The 23751-nt window shown below is 42.0% G+C and overlaps 1 annotated feature.

Moving 5' to 3' along the window:
• Positions 14000-14500: an enhancer, noted in NCBI's record as "H3K27ac hESC enhancer chr5:145920194-145920694 (GRCh37/hg19 assembly coordinates)". NCBI's record gives its function as "activates a minimal SCP1, AML or CMV promoter by ChIP-STARR-seq in primed H9 embryonic stem cells {active_cell/tissue: H9 hESC(primed)}" and the evidence as "EXISTENCE:reporter gene assay evidence [ECO:0000049][PMID:30033119]".

Below are 23751 nucleotides of genomic sequence, written 5' to 3'. Positions count from 1 at the left end.
ACTTTTATTACTTTTGAAGCCATTCAAATGTACCATTTTTAGAAATGCTTTCAAGAAAATCAAAGAATAGCAAGATTGCATCTTCATTTCCTATTTGGTTAACTCATTATTTCTATTTTTCTTAACTGAAGTATATGCCACTGGAAGTTTACTAGCTTCTTTCTAAAGTCAACCCGAAGTTCAAGCACGTGAATTGTCATACCAGCCTCTCAGAATTGAGAAAACCCTATCAACTATTCTAAAACATTTAGAAAATTCTGCTGCCTTTAGTTGCAATGTATAGCAATTTATATATACAATAACTTTTGATTCAATCTTGCACAATAATATGAATTTCTGAAGACATTTAAACCAACAATGAGATATCCACATGCTATGGTATGAAGGTTCCCCCAAAATTCATGTGTTGAAACTTAATGGCTAAGAGGAGGGACCTTTTGAGAAGTGATTAATTATAAGGATTACTGCCTTATAAAAGAGGTGATACAAACTAGCTTTAGGCCCTTTTGCCCTTCTGTCCCTACCAGCATGTGAGGACACAATGTTTGTCCCTTTTGGAAGATTCAACAACAAAGGGCCAACTTGCAAGCAGAGACCAGGCTCTCATCAAACGCTGAACCTGCTGGCACCTTGATCTTGGACTCCCAGCCTCCAGAACTATGAGAAACAAACTTCCATTCTTTATAAATTACCCAGTCTGTGGTGTTTTCTTATAGCAGCACAAATGAACTAAGATATCATGTTTAATTTGCATTTATCTTAAATCATGCTACCAAACAAATCTCTCAGCCAAGGTGACAATCAATGAACAGATTCCTTCTATGAACTCCAAGTTTGATATGAACAAAGATAGCCTCTTATCTGTCACTACTCATTTCCTTGCCTAGTAAGTTTCTTTTGATATTAACTCCAGCTAGTAAGTTTCTTTTGATATTAACTCTAAAAAGCATCTCAACCTCAGAAGTGTTAAAATGGGGGCTGGAGAGGAAAAGAACACAACACACCCAACAGAGTGGCCAAATTTTAAAAGAGAGACAATATCAAGTTGTGGACAAGGATACAGAGTAATTTGAACTCTCACATATTTCTAGTGGGAATATCAAATAGCACAACCACGTTCAAAAACAGTGTGGCAGTTTCTAACGAAGTTAAATAGCACCTATTCTATGACTCAGAAATTTCACTCCTGAGTATGTTCCCAAGAGAACATACATGAATGTCTATAAAAGTATATATGAATGTCTATAGTATCATTGTTCACAATAGCCAAAGACGGAAATAATCCAAATATCAATTAGCAAGAAAATGAATGAACTGTGGTATACCTATATAATATAATACCTCTCAGCAATTTAAAAAACAAAGAACTACTACATGCAACAACTTGGATAACTATCAAATGCATTATGTTGAAAGAAGTTAGTCACCAAAAAAAGGAATGCATACCTTATGATTCCATTTACGTAAAATTCAAAACCAGACGAAATAATCTCCAGTGATAGCAAGCACATTATGATTGCCTCTGGCAGGAGGAAGGGGTTGACAGTAAAGGGAAATGAGGGAAGATTCTGGGGTGATAAGAAAGCTCTGTATTACAACTTGGGTGATCTTACATAGATGTTTATATTTGTTGAAATTTCTCAAGCTGTACATTTAAGATTCGTGTGTTTTACTCTATGTAAATTGTCTATCAATAAAATATTATTAGCATTTGAAAAATCCACATTACAATGAGCCAATGTGTTATGTAGTTGTTTGTGAATCTCTAATACCCAAAGAATGGGATAGAAACTGAGAGATCTAAGCGATTCTAAAAGCAATGAAACAGGAACTCCATCAAATGCAAATTCCACTTCAGTTCTGACTTTACTGCCTTGATCCTGGCAATTTACCTTCTTTTCTGTCTTTATAAAGCAGCTGCACTAGATCTGTGAATTTGTCTTTTAGTCGGCAGATCTTACTCTTTGAGAACCTATTTAAGCAGTGGACTCAACTCCAGAAAAATGAATATACATAAATCATTTTGCATAGGATCCCAGAGGGTCATAAATGATCTGAAGCCCATCAAAGATGCCAGGATAGGTGGCCCTGGAGAGATGTTTTCTCAGACTCTTCAAAGCTCAGAGGTTCCTTATTAAATTATAAGTTCTTGTTGTCTAAATCAAACCAATGGCCTCTAAAATGCAAATTGTCCATTGGAATGTGGAAGTATTTATTATTTTAATTAAAAAATAAGTATTATGCTTTACTAATATCTGATCCATATGAGGTTAGTAATAAACAACTTATAAATAAATATATATAAGCTAGGGATTCCTGCTCAAAAATTTTATATACAAAGATATATGACCTAAAAATGTTGACCTTGCTCTTCTATTTTAGACCTTTGAATTTCATGGAATTTACATAGAAATTTCATGGAATTCCCAAGGTTGGGAATTATTTTTATTTTTGCCTTTAAAAAAAGACCCCCTACCTTTATTATAATTTTAGAAAAGAAAAATAATAAGGTAGGAAAGACATAATCTCAGGATTAAAAAAAAAATCTTTAAAGCAATAAATTAAAACAATAAATTATACATAATACATTATCTTGATTTTTCAAATTTTACTATGGAAGGAAAAACTTCATTGCAAAGCATCTCTAGGGCACAGCCTTAAATGCTAATCTCATTGAATTTCAACCCTATTTTATTTGGCCTTCACCACGCTCAAATACGTGAAAAAGATAGAGCTCAGGAATTTTTTACTGTCATGTACCCATGCCCCTTTTCAGAATAAGAATTTTACTTTGGTTACATTTCAAAGTTAGACTATGAGTAGATCAAAAAGTTTTCACCTTCTTTCTGCCTTCTCTGTCTATACAGAAGACCCACTGGCAGGCAAAAAAAAAAAAAAAAAAAAAAACCTTGCTGATTGACTAACAAGTCTCTCAGGACTTACAAAGCAAAGGAATTCATAAATGTGTCCAATACAATAATCTGGGATGGCCACAAAACTGGATGTATACAAAACTGCTCAGTCACTTGGAACCCAGTATGTTTCACTATCCACCAAATCTTGAGCAATTGATCCTCACCAAATGCTCCAACAGACCGTGCTATTTCCCCCTTTCACAAGTAATACATGAGATAAATAGATGTGGTGATGGGAGGAAATGGGACTGGGAAGAAAAGTGTTTGTTTTTACCTTTAGACCAGGCATTGGCCAAATCCAGCCTGCTGCCTGTTTTTGTATAGCCTGCAAACTAAGAATGGCTATTATGTTTTTCACTAGTTAAAGAAAATGAAAAGAAGAATGTTTCATGACCCATGAAAATGATACGAAATTCATATCAGTGTCCATAAATAAAGTTTCATTGGAACACAGTCCTGCTCATTAGTCTACAAATTGTCTACGGCTGTTTTGCACTGCAATGATGTAGTTGACAGAGACCACATGACCCACAAAGCCTGAAACATTTACCATCTGGCCTTTTATAGAAAGAGTCCACCAGCCCCTGCTCTAGACTGCAAGTATCCAAAGGACAGAGACCATGCTCCTGTAGTCAACATTTTGTTACATTTGCTGCCCAGCATCTATCACCTTGAGAAGACCCACCATGATTCCTTTCAGGAAAAGCCCCTCCCTCCCTCTCTATCCAGTTCTTTGGGTAGAGCCCACCTCTGTAAGGCCAGTGGATGCACCAGTTCTCCTGGGCTTGGCAATGGAGGCGGGGACATTTGATTCGGCCATCCCAGAGCAAATCCTAGGACCTTTGAGAGTTCGCTCACATTTTCTCAGGACATGAAGCTGAGCAGGTAGAATGGGAACTACTGTCGTCTTGCTGCCCTGAGTGAGAGCTCATTGAAGAACTGAAGTTACACAGAGCAAAAGCAGCCAGAGGAGAAAGAGAAGTCAGGTGCTGACTACACTGTTTGAGCCTGGATCATGCAGAGTCTGAAGCCAAATCTGCTCTTGAACTTTTTATTACATATTCTCTAGCCTAAACTCAGGATCATTTTTGCTTAAATTTGTCTGAATTACATTTTCTATCACGTGCAATTGAAAGAAAAAACAGAGTCCTGACCGATGCAGTCCTCTTCCCACTGCATTTCTGGCTGTACCCAGCCCCACAGCATGAACACAGGAGGATACTATAAATGCCCACGAAAGAGGATGACAGCCTGGAGAACTTTGAGCTAGGAAGAGAAATCCTGCAGTACTTTAGAAACCCTAAAAGGCAAGATGAGTAAGAAAAAACAGCAATATCAACAATCATTGAGCATCAACAACCAATGATTGTCAACATGTGTCCCAGACTGTGCCATATATCGTTGCAAGCTTGTGTCTTATGAAAACTTGCTAAAATCCCCTGTAATGAACAGAAACTGACGCTCAAAGAGGTTGTCAGATGACATACAGGCAGAAGAGATTTGATACAAGGTCTGTCTGTCTAACTTCAAAGCCCATGCTAATGAATCTTTTGACTATTAAAGATTCTCTACCCCAAAATAGGTCCAGTGAGATAATGCAAACTGCCAAGGTCATGGGAGATAGCTCTGGGGTCAAAATTGGGTTTATGCCCTAGTTATTCCTCCCTCTGTAATCTTCAGCAACTGACCCTTCTGAATCCCAATTTCCTTACCTATAAGAAATGCGGTTGGAATGGGCGCAGTGGCTCATGCCTGTAATCCCAGCACTTTGGGAGGCTGAGGGGGGTGGATCACCTGAGGTCAGCAGTTCAAGACCAGTCTGGCCAACATGGCGAAACCCCATCTCTACTAAAAATACAAAAAAAAAAAAAATTAGCCGGGCATGGTGGCAGTCACCTGTAATCCTAGCTACTTGGGAGACTGAGGCAGGAGAATTGCTTGAACCTGGGAGGCGGAGGTTGCAGTGAGCCAAGATCGCGCCATTGCCCTCCAGCCTGGCTACAAGAGCGAAACTCTGTCTCGAAAAAAAAAAAAAAAAAAGGAAAAGAAAGAAATAGGCTATATCTGCCTATATCAAAAAATTTCCTTGAGAATTAAATGACTAACAAATATAAAGTTCCTAGTACAGTAATTGACACAACCCAGGAATTTGATATGTGCTAGTCTTTTGCTCCCATGCCTTGGTTGGGTCAGTGTGATCCTGTTTTCTCAGAAGTCTCCACTCAACCCCAGCCCCTCACAACCACAATTCTGCAAAATTCCTTCCAAAGGCAAAGGCACACACTCAACTGCTTTTGTGGGACCTGGAGCAGGCATTAGACACTACAAGTCAGTCCTTCATGGGCTCCTATTAATGAATTGAGCTTTTAACCAGTCTGATGCAGCCAGGCCTGGAGTTCCCAAGCTGAAGCCCATTAGCATACATAGCCCCATTTACTGATAAATGCATGCAACTCATCTCCAGCATGTCACTGTTTTATGGCTGCTTGCTGACTTGGGGCTCAAGTGATGAAGTTTAATGCAGTTATGGTTTCTTATTTTTAATTGGAGCTTTAGATTTCAAGAAACAAAAAAATGGTGTTTAATTAAAAATCACTCATGGTTCTTAGCTTGCTGGGCTGTAAAAATAAAATTTAAAACAATCACTCATGGGTTTGCAATCCTTTGGTTCATTAAAAGGAGGGAAAAGTGTTTCAAGAAAGGAAATCTAATAGATCCACCTGGGTAAAGAAAAATCAAGGCAGCTCTTATCTTGTTAAATGAAGAAAACAAAAACTAGTCATGTGTCTTTTCTGAAGACTAGGCTATCCTCTTGTCCTTCTCAGATGCTATAACCATGTCTGATGGACCAGGCACACAGAGCTAAGAGTCGACTAACTTGGCAGAGGCCAGTGGAAGAATCAGATTCTGGTATCTGACATCTGTGGGTTGAGTCCTAGCCCTGCAACATACTCATATGTGACCTTGGTCAAGTTACTTAATATATCTGAGTTTCAGTCTTCTCTCTTGTAAAACAGAGATAATGATAGTACCTGATTCACACATGTGATAACATACTTGGTTGCAAGCAACAGCATTCAAGTTAAAAAAAAAAAAAGGAACTTACTAGAATCTACAGAACCACAGATGTACATGCATGGAAAGCCAGCAGGAGCCACGAGTGCCTTGAAGGCTGGGCATTAAGAATATTTGTCCAGATACTGCTGCCAGCAGCACAGATGGACTCTACCACCCCTTGCCTCTGCCCTTTGTGTCTTGGCTCCTGCTCAAAAATCCAGCACAGGTGTCTGGGAGGCTAACCTGTCTGCTAGAGGTAGGAGAGGAAAGGCAGGGTACCCCTGGAGGTCTAGATTCCTTTTCAAAGGGAGATGCTCATAAAGATGCACACAAAGGCAACTCTCCCCACAATGAAAAATGTCTATGACAACAGGATTGTGGTGAAGGATAAATGAGATAATGCACGGAAAGCCCCTGGCAACTTACTAGAACATAGCAGATGGCCAACAAATGACAGCTATTATTATTGCTATAATTAGCATTATTTTTAACAACTATCATTCTGGCCACCAGGGATGATACAGGCAGATGATAAAAATAGACTCATTTTAGCTGAATTCATGATGAGGGGTCGTGGGAGAGGGTAGAACTGTAGACATTCAACATATAGCCCCAATGTCTCTGAAGAATGACACCCAAGAATATCAAGGCCAACTCATGAACTACCCTTAATACCAGTGTCAGCCTGGATACTGGGGCAGAGAAGGGGGAATCCCTGCTCTAGAGCAAAACTGGTGTTCTTATGCCAGCTCCTCCCTCTCATTTTCCAGATTCTACTGCACCACGAGCAGGCTCCTCAGCTCTGCACATGAGGGTTCTTCTGTTTTAATGACTTGCCTCAAGTCCCATGTGTAAGAAAGACGGATCCAAGGTCCTCCCGAGGCTAATGTGCAGGCTCAAACCTTGTAATTTAAAAAGGACACGGGTATGGCTGCACATTGTTTGCATCAAAAATATAGCTGAAGTCTAAATATTAGCTCAGTGTAACTATGCAGAAAATGAAGCCTGACATGTCAATTAATTCTTTGCATCTCTCTGCTGTGTACAAGGGGGATTTTTTTTAAAGAGTAGAAATCTCATCATAGGTTCAAGTCATATTAGTCAATGGCTTATAGCTAAAATTAAAAGTGAAATATAGTACCTTGGAAAACTGTAGTCCTAAAGTCATTGTTATCACAGAGGAAGAGAATTGTTCTTTTTTTTTTTTTTTTTTTTTTTGAGACAGGGTCTCTCTCTATCGTCCAGGCTGGAGGGCAGTGGCACAGTCTTGCCTCACTGCAACCTCTGCCTCTTGGGTTCAAGCAATTCTCCTGGCTAGTGAATGTTCTCTTTAAAACGTGTGATGGGAGTTGCCTCTGGCAGTCCTAAACTGTCTTTGTGTTGCATGGTCCTTCCTCATAGTCAAAGTATAGGATGGTGTGTAAATGATGAACCTGAGCTCTTGGAAGGCTCAGAAGGGCCTTCAGTCTTCCCCCAACCCCTGAAAATAAAGTCATATTTAGTATTGGGTAAAATTTAGTGAAATTAAGAAAAATTTAGTATCAAGTTAAAGGTTACTATAATGTAGAACATATAATTATTTAGAGATATCCTATTCCACACTCCCCATCTTGCTAAATATTTGATCTGTCCTAATATATTCAAGTTGTAATCCAAGTTGTAATAGTAATAATGCTAAATTATGGGAATTAATCAAAATTCATTTAAGGCTGGGCACAGTGGTGCATGCCTATAATCACAGCTACTCAAGAGGCTAAGGCAGGAGGATCAGTTGAGCCCAAGAGTTTGAGCTCATCCTGCGCAACATAGCAAGACCTTGTCTCTTTAAAAAAAAAAAAAATTTTGAAACGTGGTTTCACCCTGTCACCCAAGCTGGAGTGCAGTGATGTGATCACAGCTCACTGCAGCCTTGACCTCCCAGGCTCAGGCAATCTTCCTGCTTCAGCCTCCCAAGTAGCTGGGACCACAGGTGCACATCACCATGCCTGGCTAATTTTTAAGTTATTTGTAGAGATGGGTCTCACTATGGTGCCCAGGCTGGTCTCAAACTTTTGGGCTCAAGTGATCCTCCCACCTCTGCCTCCCAAAGTGCTGGGATTACAATCATGGGCTACCACTCCCAACTCAAAAAAAATTAATTTAGTTCAGAGTTAACGTACTAGATAGTCATTCCGTCATCCAAACAATAACTATTCAATGTCTGCTATATGCCAGGAACTGCAGTGAGTTCTGGGGATGCAAAAAAGAACAAAGGCAGCCAGGTACCTCAGGGAGTTTCCAGGCTAGAAAGAGAAAAGGATAGTCCAAAGAAATTCAAAGTAGTAAAAGTTATCATTGCTATTAGAGGGGAGCTAGAGCTACTTCTCTAAGTAGGTATGACAAACAGGCTGGGGACTGAAGAATGAGAACTGGTATCTAGGTGAAGAGTGGATAGGGTTAGGTGGAGAAAAGGATATTTTATCAGGCTGTGATCCAACTCTCCTTACCCTCCCTCCTTCCTAGGAAATTCAGTCTCTGAACATTATCATCAGTAATAGTCTGATAAGTATATATATTTCTAGAGCCACCCCTGGTGTGCCAACAACCTTCAGGGCAAAAATTCTCAAATGGAAATGGTATTATTGTTTAAGTCTCTATAGGCAAGACAATGAAGATTATACAAATGAATTTAAGGTCTGGTTCATCACTCCCCTCAATGGTGGCCAATCTAACTTTAAAGACAAAACAATCCACAAATAGTTAAGAAAAAATATCTAGGCTGTTTAAGGCAACAAAAGAAGTCATTTTTTTTTATTCATTAAACAAATATTTATGTAGCAACTATGAACTCAACATTGTGTGGGGAACAAAAATGGCTAAGATCCATGATAAATCAAGAAAGTTTTCAATGGGTCTTAAGGGGGAGTAGAAATTGGATTGGTGAGAAAGTGAAGAAATATAGCCCAGGTAGATGTAATGAAGGGAATAAAGTCAGATAAAGGAGAAAGATGTCTTTAAGAACAGCAAGGAATCCAGTTTGGTTGTAGCTGAAGACTTGATGAAGTTGGCCAACTTCCATCCAACTGTACTCATGGAAAACAATGACTGATCTCCACATTCCTCTTCTCAGGTCCCAGAAATCTTTCTCACAGTTCTCCTAGCAGCCATTCCCAATAAACTGATATATGCAGCCTGTCTAGCAAAATGGTGGCACCATTGAGAGTAACAGTAGAGGAGGGAGAACTGAGCTCTGAGAGAAAAGGAAGAGGTTAATTTGATTTATTGGTAAAGATCTGTGTTTAGGCACAAGCTAGTAAAATTCAGCAAGACCTATTAACCTGGGAATCAACACCAAAAGGTGCTTCTAGATCAATATTCACACAACTGAGCCCTCTTTGGTAGAGAAAACCACAAACCCAGGCTACTTTGAACAAATATAAATAAGCTTTTCATTGAAGAGACTATATAATTGCAGAGAGCAGGTAGCAAATTGAGTGGATGCAGAAGTCTGCTAATGCATGGGGATGAGGGTTTTTCAAGCTTTAGTCATTGATTTAATTCCTGTTTGCATAAACGAGGTGTTAAAAGATACTACAACTAACATAATCTAAAACAGTGTGTTAGCTAACACAAATTCAAGATAGCATATATAGTGTAGGTACAAGGTAATGTCTATTTACTGGTCAGAGTTTAGGCAAGAAACAAAACCACTCTAGATATCTTGAGAAGAATGGGGTTTGATTCAGAGATAGGTATTTGCGAAATCACTGGAAGAGTTAGTGAATGGAATTTAAAAGGCTGCCTCTACGCTTTCGTGGGAGTTATAAGTAGTCATCACCAAGTATTTCCAGCTCTCCACCTTCTGAGAACACTTCCTAGTCCCTTTGTGGTTGGATGGGACAAGTGACTTTTCTTGCCTTTTAGGGTTATACATTTCTTATGTTTATTTCCCTCTGTATGCATAAAATACTGCAAGGGCTTCCTTTTCCTAGCAATAAGATCTCCAAACCATCGTCCTAATTCATGGGCATTTATAGTACCCTCCTGAGTTCATGCTATGGTGCTGGGTGCTGGGTGCTGGGTGGTACTGGGTGCTGGGTGCTGCTGGGAGCATTGATCTTGGAGACAGGGTCTCACTCCATCATCCAGGCTGGAGTGCAGTGACGCTATCTCAGCTCACTGCAACCTCCACCTCCTGGGTTCAAGTGACTCTCCCACCTCAGCCTCCAGAGTGGCTGAGACTACAGGTGCGCACCACCACACCTGGCTAATTTTTGTATTTTTTGGCAGAGATGGGGTTTCGCCATGTTGGCCAGGCTGGTCTCAAATTCCTGACCTCAAGTCATCCACCCACCTCGGCCTCCCACAGTGCTGGGATTACAAGTGTGAGCCACCGCACCCAGCCAGGAACATTGATTTTTGAGAGTAGATGACATGTTTTGCTTTTAGGTCACACCATTTAGTTGTCAGCACAGTCTTTGTAGGCCTCTGCACCCCTCTAGCATGATAGACCAAGTTGATGGCTGCTCCATGAGTCCAGATCCTACAGTGAGGAGACACAAATCACAGCCCCAAGGCAATCCACAGTAGGCACACAGCACAAATGAGAAATAAGCCACCTAAAATTAGGAGGTTATTTATTACCACAGCAGAACTTTGCCTATGGTGACTGAAACAGGGTCTGACCTCCAGATTATAAACTACCACAGCCACCAACCAGAGGACAGGAGCAGTGACTGTCACTAGGAGGCCAGGCCATTGTGGCTTGTGTGGCTATTGCCACTGCTGAAGCCACAGCTTCCCCACACCATGAAGCTAAATAACACAGAATGAACCTGGAGCCCAGCTGCTGCCAGCACTCACACATATCAGCAGCACAAAATCTCAGGAAAAAAAAAAAAAAAAAAGGCCTTTGTCTTCCTTCTACCTTCAAAATCTCAAGGGCTCCTACTTGCCAGAATCTAAGTTGCATCTAGAATCCTAGTGGCCAAAGGGTCAGGGGAGTGTAGGTTTTCAGACTTCTGGTCCCTGTGATGGAGGAGTCTGGGGACACAGAGAGCGATGGAAACAGATGTTGAGTGCCAACAAGCAAAATCTAGCACAAATCCTCAAAGTGTGCTCCAGGCCCCTCTGCATCAGGGTCACTGGGGTGCCTACCACCAGATGCCAACCATACAGGCTCAGACTTGTGGGGACCTGGGATCTGCATTTTGACAATGGTCTTGTCTATAGAAGAAGGGATTTGCCCTTAAGAGAGGAAAAAAAATAAAAGATCCAAAGTATTTAATAAAACGGCTCCTACATAAAAATTGCTTTACCACTTTAATGTCCCCTGTAAGTTTTGTGTTTCTTGTATAGTTTTAAGTCCTATTAAAGTTGTAGATTAATAGTAAGCAAACAAAATCCAACTCTTTCATTTTAAAAATAAGGAAAATGAAGCACGGAAATGTTAAGAATTTTGCTTAACATTAATTTTTTTAGTAAGAGAGACAGTTGTCTAGACCAAAAAAAAAAAAAAAAAACAATGATTGAAAGCCAAATAAATTAGATTTGGCCTCAGAAGACATGTCTATTCACCAGCCACCTGAGTATTACCCACAGAGAAAACTTTTAATTTAGCAGCTGCAAATGGGCAGGCCTCAAGCCACAGGTGTATTTTGCTATTCTACACAGTATACTTTTACAATTTGAGCTAAGCCAGGCGTGGTGGCTCATACCCATTATCAGGCACTTTGGGAGACTGAGGCAAGAGGATTGCTTGAGCCCAGGAGTTAGAGACCAGCCTGGGCAACAAAACAAGATCCTGTATTTACAAAAAATAAATAAATAAATAAATAAATTAGGCGTCGTGGTCCACAACTGTAATCCCAGCTACTCAGGAGGCTGAGGCAGGAGGATCCCATGAGCCCAGAAGGTCAAGGTAAGCCATGATCATGCCACTACACTCCAACCTGGGTGACAGAGCAAGTCCCTATGTAAAAAAATAAATAAATAAAATTTGAGCTAATATCTAAAATTTAGGAAATTCCACATAAAAATCCATGTATTTGGTTTCCCTTGAAAAATTAAAGGGCCCCAGCTTCCCAGCTGACAACAACTGACTCCTCTAAGAGGCAGCTCCCAATCCTCATGTCCTTACCCCCCATCCTGACCCCAACTGACCCCCCAGACCCCCTTCCAACTGTGTGCTCTCCAGTTTGCTACTGTGCCCACCTATTTTCCTGTAAAAGGTAGATTTCTACTCCTGTAAAAAATAAACAGCTAACTGACTACAACCCAAACACCAAGAAGAAGGGAGTCATTTCATTTTACCAAGGGTGCCATAAGGTTGTACCAAGCGTTTATTGGAAGCATTTGGCTTGATGACACCACCCCCCACCCTACTCCACGCCTATATTTTTTATTTAGAGAACTATTTGCTCATGGATCTTTAAAGAATCCAACAGTGTCTTCTGGAAACTCAGGGTTAGGGACAATGATATTTATCATCATGCTTGAAATCGTCTTTCTTGCTGTAAAGAAAGATTCTTATAACTTTATGCTGATCAAAAGTAATAGAACAAAGATAGACCTGTGAGGCGGTGCAAGTTCTTTCACCTTCCCATTTCATTCATTTTTACGACTTTCCTGGCCCCTGGGGACAATTTGCCACTCTGGCCTTAAGATACTTTGTAGATAGATTTGTGCCCCACGGACCTGTTTGCAGCCTGCAGTCCGATCTCCGGTTGAGGTGAGCCCCCACCTGGTCACCTGCAGAACGGCACCCACGAGGGCCAGCTAGTTATTCTGGCACACAGGGCAGTTAGAGCGAGCGCTCCTCTATACAGGACACCACTGCGCTGTGTATTTGAGGTAATTAGTTTGGCTCTAAAATTAGCAGTTAAATAAATGTTAATGAACAGCTGTTCCCAATAAACAGGATAAATTGAAATTAATAATTGCCGTATTCATTTAACAAATGAATTACCCACTTTTTAAATACACCAACATAACACATGTGTGATCTCCTGCCAAGAGGGGCCGGCCTAGGAAAATGTACTTAGTGGCAAAACAGGGTAAGCCAGGAGCCAAGCAGGGCAGATGCCATGCCGCCCACTCTAAAGATACCAACAAAATGTGTGACTGCTTTCTTATTTTTATTCCTGTAAAAGGTTGAAATAAATATCAGATTAACTACAACCCAAACACCAAGAAGAAGGGAGTCATTTCATTTTACCAATGGTGGGGTAAGACTGCATCCAGGGTTTCTTGAAGGCATTTGGCTTGATAACACCACCCCCTACCTCACTCCACCCCTATATTTTTTATGTAGGGAACTATTTGCCCGTGGATCTTTAAAGAACCCGACTCTATCGCATCCCAGGAGTAGAAAATTGCTAGCAACACTGAATTCTAGGGCAGTGAGAAGGACAAGAGCTTTAGAGGGACAATCTAGGCTCAAGTTCTGACTACACTAATTACCTCAGTTTCTTCATCTGCACAATGGGAATTGTGAGCTTTGTGTAAGATCATATAGGTCAAGTAGCTAGCACAATGTTTAGCATTTAATAGTTCTTTATTATAATACATATTATTACTTTTCCTTTACAGTGTAAATGACAATCAGAGTTTAAGGAACAAACTTACAAGTAAACTAAGCCTTTATCTGCCGGAGCCCCACGCATTGATGCCAGGCTCTGTCCTGGGCAGGAACACCAACGTGAACAAGACAAGGGCTCTGCCTAGAGGAGCCCATGTGCTCGTGTCCTGGTGTAGCAGGCATGTGAAACATGGACATAACAAGCAAGAACGTTTAGGCGCGTGCTGTGAAGAGACTAAAAGGGGACAACAGAAGAGTGGCTGGGTGACTTTAGCTGCAATAACAGGAACATTTGAGGGACCACCACTCTGAGGGAAAAGTTAAGCCAGCACCTGCATGTGACTGGAAGGCTGCCATGAAGTCTCCAGGAAGAACATTCTGGAGAAAGAGCAAATGCAAAGACTCTAAAGTGGGAAAAAGTACCAGCATATTCCAGCGAGAGGGTGAGCGTCATTAGAACTTAGGGACATAGCCAGGCTCAGTGGCTCATGCCTGTAATCCCAGCACTTTGGGAGGCCAAGGCAAATGGATCACCTGAGGTCAGGAGTTCGAGACCAGCCTGGTCAACATGGTAAAACCCCGTCTCTACTAAAAATACAAAAATTAGCCAGGCATGGTGGCAGGTGCCTGTAATCCCAGCTACTCAGAGGCTGAGTCAGGACAATCACTTGAACCCAAAGAGATGGAGGTTGCAGTGAGCTGAGATTGCATCATTGCACTCCAGCCTGGGCAACAAGAGTGAGAGGCCATCTAAAAAAAAAAAAAAAATAAGAACTTAGGGACATTAGTTTCTGAAGATCACTCTGGCTGTCAAGTAGAACAAAAGTGAAAGGAGGGAGCTGAGTTAGAAGGCTTTTGCAGATGGTGGCTTCCCCATAAATTGACCCAACCTACTTCATTCCATGCAAGAGGATCCTTTCACCCCAGGAATTCCCATTACACATAGTTTTCATTACAACATGGAAGGTCATTATTGGTAGAAGATGTTACAGCCAGTACAGAGCGAGTCATGCACACTCTCTCACCAGAGAGGAGTTAGACCTGGAAGGCAATCACTGGGCCACGCTAAGATCTTCACCTCCTTTGTTTGTCCCTTTGTCCCCCTCCCTATTCTCAGCATACACACAGCTAGTCATTAGCATTCTTTGCATGTGGAGAGACTCAGTAATGGTTTGTGTGTCTCACATTGAAATACTATAGGCAGATACAGTATTTCAGAGTGGTAAAGAGACCTTGGTTAGCTGCGTCTGAATCCCAGCTCTACCATTTTCTGCCTGTGCAACCTGGACAATTTACTTAACCTCTCTCATGTGTCAGTTTCTGTCTCTGGGAATGGGGAAAATAGCACATAGTTATTAAGGAGATCAATAATAACAATGGAAAGAGCATAGCATGTAAGGGTGTTGGCCTACAGTAAGCCCTCAGTAAATATCAGTGCTTAGTCATAGGCCCGCAGCACACAGTTCTCTCTGATGGACACAAATCCTGTTCCAGTGATAATCAAGCTGTGACTGTAAAATAGACTGTTACATTTAAATTAGAAGCAAAGTTAATGATAAAGTTAATTCATAGACAGGATGTTTGAAGTTTTACGTTAAAAATGAACTTATGGGTCCGGTGGCAAACTCTTATGTCTCAGCAGGCGTTTCTTTGGAGCCAGTATAAAGTGTTTAAAACTTCATAGTAATGTAATATTAAGTACAGGCAAAGTTAGTAAGACAGACCTGTCATACACTGATGGGGAGAGAGCGGGTGTAAAACGCTATAGCCAGTTGAGAGGCTTTTTTTTTTTTTTCTTTTAAGGAGTCTCTGTCACCCAGGCTGGAGTGCAGTGGTGCAATCTTGGCTCACTGCAACCTCCGCCACCTGGGTTCAAGCAACTCTCCTGTCTCAGCCTCCCAAGTAGCTGGGACTACAGGTGCACGCCACTATGCCCGACTAATTTTTGTATTTTTAGTAGAGATGGGATTTCACCATATTGGTCAGGCTGGTCTCGAACTCCTGACCTCAGGTGATCTACCCGCCTCAGCCTCCGAAAGTGCTGGGATTACAGGCGTGAGCCACCTCACCCAGCCAAGAGGCATTTTTAATACATCTTTTAAACGTGCATCAACTTCAATCCACCAATTTCACTTCTTTTTTTTTTTTTTTTTTTTTCTGACACAGAGCCTCTCTCTGTCACCCAGGCTGGAGTGCAGTGGCATGATCTCAGCTCACTGCGACCTCCACCTCCAGGTTCAAACGATTCTCCTGCCTCAGCCTCCTGAGTAGCTGGGACTACAGGCATGTGCCACTATGCCCAGCTAATTTTTTGTATTTTTAGTAGAGACGGAGTTTCACCATGTTGGCCAGGATGGTCTCAATCTCCTGACCTCGTGATCCGCCTGCCTTGGCCTCCCAACGTGCTGGGATTACAGGCATGAGCCACCGTGCCTGGCCCAATTTCACTTAATATCTGTTCTGGAATATGACACCCATGTGTACACAAGAAATAATATTTAAGGGTGTTCATTACAGTACTGTTTTCTAACAGGGAAAAGCTGGAAATAAATGATTGCTCATGAGGAAATAGCTAAACAAATTATATTTTTATAATCGAAATACTATGCAACACTGAATGAAATGTAGAACTACGTGTATTAATAGTCCGAGACCTCTAAAACACATTGTGCTGGAAAGAACAAGCTACCAAATTATATGTGTGGTATAAAATTAATGCTATTACTTTTATACACACATTTGCATGGCAGAGATTGCTAGTTGCCTTCTCTCTGCTATTTAATAATAGAATTACAATTTTATTTGTTGTAGCAATGAATTCAGCTGAAAGACAACAGCTCACAGCATCTCTTGCAGCCACATGCGGCTGTATGACTGAACTCTGGTCAGTGAGATGTAGTTAGAAGTGAATGCAAATAAGGCTCCCTCCCTTCTTTCTATGTCTGCCCTGGGTTGCAGATAGAATGACTGGAGCTTTCATCACCATTTTGAACCAGGAGGTGACCTTGAGGGTGGAGACAGTGAACAAAGGCAGAGTGATGCCCAGATTGCTGGTAATATCGTGGAGTCACCGTATCAGCCCTGGACTGCCTGTCTCCAGACTTTATCTGAGAAAACTTCTGACTTCAGCTAGTGTTATTAGAGATTTTCCTATCATATGCAGCTGAACGTAATCCTAAATCATACAGTAGGCAAATCCAACAGTCTGCACATACGTGCACTAAACTAACATTAGTTGTTACCTTTGGGAACAAGAGGAGAGGACTGCAAGTATAGAGAGCAGTCCAAGGAAAATCAAGCTTTAGCTCCATCTCCATGTTTAAATTTTTAGAAGAATTCATTCATGTATTTGCACAACTAAAATTGATTTTAAAATAAAAGGGAAATATCCATTTAAATTAAAGAGACAGCTGGCAAAGCAGCCGCTGAAGGGGCTCAGGGCCTCAGGGACTCCAGCACTGCTCCTCACTGCACCTTGTAGAAGACACAAATGGCCAGATAGGTCATTTTAGCCACCACCTCCCCAGGGGACTCTTACCCTGTCAGCTGGGTACTCCCATCAGAGACGCTTCACCTGTGGACTGACCACCAAAACCATCCCACAAACAGTAAACTTGGTTCCTTCCTGATAAAAATGAACCTCAGCCAAGCTATGTGCAGGGCTTTGTAGTCATCGAATCATGAGGCCCCAGAAGGCAAAGGTGAGTGAGGTTCAATCACCTTCCCATCAGAGAACTAGTCTCTCTTTCATGATCAGTATTTCTAAGGTGGGAGGGAGAGGTACAGAAGTGACAGAGGTGAGCAGGATGCTCGGTAGCCCTGTGTGTCACAAGGGATGTGGTACAATTCCATCTTATGGCAGCCACGTGCCCAGGAAGAAAGCACACTTCACATTCTGCTGCTCGGGGTATTTCCTCAAATAACAGTGACATGGGAAGTGAATGGAGCAGTGGTAGAAGGACGTGGGGTGCATCACTAAAATTCTCACTCCATGCTCAACTCAAGTTCACCAACTTCAGATCAGGAAGAAGCCTCGGCTGTATCGACGATGGGACAAAAATGGGGAGGAAACTTTCCTGCTCTTAACATGTCTGTCCTCATTCGTTCCCAGATTTGGCAAAACCCCAACCCTGAATAGCCCAACTATCACCTTGCTTTAAGCCCACACCTGTAAAGCCACACCTTGCTAGATGCCCTACATGAGCAGGCAGGCTGGTGTCATTTTAAATCAGCATCCCCACTCTCAAAGGCCATTCTGCTGTTTTAGAGCAACCAGGTCTTAATCTGTCCCAATTCCTCAAACCTTCCACCCTCAACCCCCTTTTTAATTGAGGGCCTCACTGCCACCATCCCCCCACACCCCTGTTCCCCAACTCAATCAAGAAAACGGGAGCCAGACAGCAACTCCCACAGTCGCCACCTCCAAATGCAAAACCCTCCCCTGCACCTGCACCTTCTGCTGCCTCTGCTTTCTCATCACAAGAGAGGACTACCCTCCCCATTGAAGTCTTTTTCCCACCCATGCCATCTGGATCCCCTGCGCTCTGTACTTCCCGACTCCACTGCCACTCATGGGGGGCCAAGACCCTAGCATATCCATCTTTCCTTCTCCATTGCGTCATTCCCTCCAACATATGAATTTGCTCTAGTGAAGGAGATAGGCATGGTGTTGTTAATAGGAGATTTGATCTTACATGAAATATCAGGGAAAGTTTTCCAGAGGAATCAATGCCTGAACAAAGATCTGCAGGATAAGGAGAAGTTACTCTGAGGAAGAAGGGAAAAAATCATATTCCAGGCTGTGGGGCCTGCATGTACACACACCCTGTGATAAAATAAGGTGTTTTGAAACTAATCTGTTACAGTCCCCCCTGTATTTTGACTTGCAAACATAAATTCCAAAGAAGGAAAGTCTTTCAGATACTTTTTTTTTTTTTTTTTTTTTTGAGATGGAGTCTTGCTCTTTTGCCCAGGCTGGAGTGCAGTGGTACCATCTTGGCTCAGTGCAACCTCCACCTCCCAGGTTCAAGTGATTCTCATGCCTCAGCCTCCCAAGTAGCTGGGACTACAGGCAGGCATGGCCACACCCGGCTAATTTTTGTATTTTTAGTAGAGACGGGGTTTCACTGACCAGGCTGGTCTCGAACTCCTGACCTCAGGTGATCTGCCTGCCTCGGCCTCCCAAAGTGCTGGGATTAGGTGTGAGCCACCACGCCCAGCCTCAGATACTTTCTTAACAACCAGGCAATCTGTACCTGTACTATTTGATAGGGTAGCCAATAGCTTTAAAACAAAACTAAATAAAATTAAATATTCAGTTCCTCAGTTGCACTAGCCACACTTCAAATCAGACAGTGGAAATACAGGACACTTCCGCCATCACAGAAAGTAATCTAAGACAGTGTTCACCTAAACCACTAGGAGCAGGAAGGTGCATATGAGATTCATGAGAAGTTGGGGTTTTGTTCCAATTTGTTTTTGAATTTATTATTTGGATTATTACAGAAAGAATCAGTCAGCTAATACGTAAGATCTGTGATTAATATCACAAATTTAGCAATTTCCTTCAACAAACATGTTAACAAATGATGTTTTCCTTATATATTAGTAGTTTCAAAGTTGCAGGCCCACAATCCTTGGAAGGTAACTATCAAAACCAACCACTGAATATACAGGAAAGTGTTTTTGCTCTTTTTAAGAGAGCACTTAGAAATTTGACTTTAGGTTGGGCATGGTGGCTCATCTCTATAATCCCAACACTTTGGGAGGCCAAGGCATGATGATTGCTTGAGCCCAAGTGTTTGAAACCAGCCTGGGCAACACAGGGAGACCTCTGTCTCTACAAAAATATTAAAAAATTAGCCAGGCATGGTGGTGCATGCCTGTACTACCAGCTACTCAGAAGGCTGAAGTGGGAGGTTCACTTGAGCCCAGGAAGTCGAGGCTGCAGTGAGCCATGATTGCACCACTGCACTCCAGCTTGGGCAACAGAGCAAGAGCCTGTCTCAAAAAAAAAAAAAAAATTCAACTTTATGTTGATAAGATAATCAGCACAGATTTAACTCCAATTTTATAGTGCCTGGTTTGTCACTATTCTCTACCTTTTCCCTCATGGCTCTAAATAAATGATAAAGAATAATCCTAACTCAAAAACACCTTTGTCAACATCATCTTCACTCAATTTTCTCATCATGTACCTTGGAAGCTTTTTGCCTGTATAACCTTAATCAAAGCACTATTGGGAGGAGGAGGGCACCTAAAATAATTTTGCTCCAAAGCTCCCAGGTGGAAGAAAACATGGTAAACACAAGGCCAAGGTGGCTGGAGTGAAAGATGAAAAAATCAGGAGGAAGAGGCACGGGCCAAGCTATCTATCTTTTTATTTTTTGGAGACAGAGTCTCACTCTTGTCACCCCGGCTGGAGTGCAATGGTGCGATCTCGGCTCACTGCAACCTCCGCCTCCCGGGTTCAAGTGATTCTCCTGCCTCAACCTCCCGAGTAGCTGGGATTACAGGCACCCACCACCACACCCAGCTAATTTTTGTATTTTTAGTAGAGACACGGTTTCACTGTGTTGGCCAGGCTTGTCTCAAACTCCTGACCTCGTGATCCATCCACCACAGCCTCCCAGGCACTTTTTTTTTTTTTTTTTTTTTTTGAGACAGAGTCTCACTCTGGCACCAGGCTGCAGTGCAGTGGTGCAATCTCGGCTCACTACAACCTCTGCCTCCTGGGTTCAAGCAATTCTCCTGTCTCAGCCTCCCAAACAGCTGGGACTACAGGCATGCGCCACCACGCCCAACTAATTTTTGTATTTTTAGTAGATTCACCATGATGGCCAGGCTGGTTCTGATCTCTTGACCCCGTGATCCACCCACCTTGGCCTCCTAAAGTGCTGTGATTACAGGCGTGAGCCACCATGCCCAGCTCAAGCTATGTATCTTTAACCTAATGTGTGATAAGAAGCCACTGAAGGATTTTAAGAGTGAAAGGGAAGAACACTGAAGTAGGAAAGACTTGATCCAATCTGAGTTTTGAAAAAATGGCTGTGGTTTCTGTGTGGTGAGAAAGGACAATCTTGAGGGAGGCCAGTGTCCAGGCAGATAGGCCTATTAGGAGGCAGCTGCAGCAGGAATTGAAAGCAAACCCTGAGTATAGCCAGAGGGTCACTATAGTACCCAAATCAAAAGTCAAGAAACCATACTGACAAGTGTGGAAGTGGTTACAGGGAAACATGACAGAATATTTAAAAGTCAACCAATCCCACAAAACCTGGAGTGTGTGGTCCTGCCCACAGCAGTAGGAAAAGTGATGGTTTTATAATAAATGCTCAAAAAGTAATTTATTATTTGGAGGAAAATTCTTGTCTAACAGGTCAACTTCTATTATACTTCAGGATTCCAAACCAAAAATTTCTTAACACCTTGAAATTTTCCTCCCAGTGGAGACTGCATGAATTTCCCCTGAAATGTTAAAGCAGCTCTACCTTTGTTTTCTGTAGTATTCCCCTCTCCTCCCTTTTGAGGAAATGCTATGGAAATGTCCTTTTATATAAAGAGACAAAAAAGTCTGGGCTGTCAATCACATTCCTAGGATACTATAGGGCTGGGAAGACCATAGGTCAAATTCAACGCACTGGCAGCTTTTATTTTTCTTTTCCCCAAGCAATGCTTTAAAAGAAATTGAGCAACTTTTTTTAATAATCTATCTTCTTTAATGCATATATATTTTTCTTTTTTTTTTTTTTTCATTTTAAGTTCTGGGATACATGTGCAGAACGTGCAGGTTTGTTACATAGGTATACATGTGCCATGATGGTTTGCTGCACCTATCAACCTGTCATCTAGGTTTTAATCCCTGCGTGCATTAGGTATTTGTCCTAATGCTCTCCCTCCCTGAGCAACATTTTTAAATCAGAAAATTTCACTGAGAACTCTGGAATGTTTTCATCTCTTGAAAAATCATAAGCCCCGAGCCTGCAACACTAGGGTTTTCTCTCCACAGGCAACTATCAGCTAGAATCAAATGCAAGCCAGTCCTCTCAAGATCTGAGATCTCCTCTCCAGTTCACTAAGGTCTCCACCACCCACACCAGCTAAGCACGGAAGTCACACAGGTTACACAGCATTTGTGCTCTCAAGGTACTGGACTCTGCCGCCCTCTGTTGGCCAAATCTGTGCAACTGTAGAAAACTACCAAATTATTGAGGCCTGTTATCACCTGCAACTAGATCAGCCACTAAAAATCAAAGTTCTCTTTATCCATATTCCTGACCTTCCAGCATAAGATGATATGTATTCAAGAAATGTAAACTAGGCCGGGTATGGTGGCTCACGCCTGTAATCCCAGCACTTTGGGAGATGGAGGCAGGCGGATCACTTGAGGTCAGGAGTTGGAGACCAGCCTGGCCAACATGGCAAAACCCAGTCTCTACTAAAAATACAAAAGTTAGCCAGGCATGGTAGTGGATGCCTGTAAATCTAGCTACTCGGGAGGCTGAGGCAGGAATCACTTGAACCCGGGAAGCAGAGGATGCAGTGAGCCAAGATCATGCCACTGTACTCCAGCCTGGGTGACAGAGCAAGACTCTGTCAGAAAGAAAGAAAAGAAAGAGAGAGAGAGAGAGAGAGAGAGAGAGAAAGACTAAATTTGACCTTAACAGGCCATCACTTAAAAATGAATGGGGAGGCCAGGTGCAGTGGTCACGCCTGTAATCCCAGCACTTTGGGAGGCCGAGGCGGGCAGATCATAAGGTCAGGAGTTTGAGACCAGCAGGGCTAACATAGGGAAACCCCGTCTCTACTAAACACACACACACACACACACACACACACACACACACAATTAGCCAGGCCTGGTGGTGAGCACCTGTAATCCCAGCTACTTGAGAGGTTGAGGCAAAGAGAATCGCTTGAACCTGGGAGGTGGCAGTTGCAGTGAGCCAAGATCGCACTCCACAGTCCAGCCCAGGCAACAGTGTGAGACTCTATCTCAAAAAAAAAAAAAAAAAGTGAATGGGGATACCAAATATCAAATAAAAAATTCTCTGTTATTATACTTTGGATTTTCTGAGGGGGTTGGGACAGAGGGGGGGTCTCAATCTCTGTTGCCCGGGCTGGATTTCAGTGGCACGATCACAGTTCACTGCAGCCTGAAACTTCAGGGCTCGAACAATCCTCCCATCTCAGCTTCCCAAGTAGCTGGGACTACAAGCGTGCGCCATCACGCCAAGCTAATTTATATCTATATATATATACATAGATATAGACATATATAGATATATATATAATAGACGTAAATTTATGTATTTCTCTATATATATAAAAATAATTTTTTAAGATGGGGTCTCACTATATTGCCCAGGCCAGTCTCAAACTCCTGGCTTTAAATAATTTTCCTGCTTTGGCCTCCAGAGTAGCTGAGATTACAGGCACAAACCACCACCCCCAGGTTATACTTTAAATTTGTGAGAATTCAGGATTGCTTTATTTACATAACAAAGCTTTAATCTTTCCCAAAAATATTTTATGTATTAAATAATTTCCCAATACATATTTTCCAAATTAAAGCATATTAATTTGGTCCCAAAGTTTTCATGAGCTACACTGCATTTAGCCATCCCAAAGCTTGTGGTGTTAAACTTCTTGTCAGAGCATGGTGCTCACAATAGTCATTGCAGGGGCCAAAACAAAACAGGAGGCTCTTTGTCACTGAGTTACTGCGAAGTACAACTCTTCAAGCAGGGAGGAATCACCACCTCATAGGGCATTCCCAATCTGCATGCAAAGATTTTATAGCCCACTCCACCTTAATACTCTTTGAAAGCTGTATTTTGAGAGACAAATATTCAATGAGAGAGATTTCTGGTCTATTTTTCACTACCATCGTCTTCTCTCTAGAAGATAAAACATGACACGAAAGTTAATCAATGCTTTGATCATACCCTGCAAGCTAATCACCACATTCCCAACGAGCAGCAGGAATAGCCAAAGAAACCAAAAAGCCAAGCAAATTTTCTGTAGCTGAACTGGAAATCGAAAGGCAATTGTCAAGTGCACCCTAATCAAAGACTCCTGTGGTGGCATGGTAAACCCCACAGTGGATAAGAACAAGCTGAATTCACGAAAACTGAGAATTACCCTTCTTCCAGAAATTCTGTTTCACTCAAATACAACTTGGAATCCCAGCAGAGGTCTGTCCCAGTAAGCATTTAATTAATG

This window comes from Homo sapiens, chromosome 5 (assembly GCF_000001405.40).
Source record: "Homo sapiens chromosome 5, GRCh38.p14 Primary Assembly".
Taxonomy (NCBI): Eukaryota; Metazoa; Chordata; class Mammalia; order Primates; family Hominidae; genus Homo; species Homo sapiens.
The sequence above is the reverse complement of the archived record's forward strand: the minus strand, read 5'-3'. Positions and strand labels throughout refer to the sequence as shown.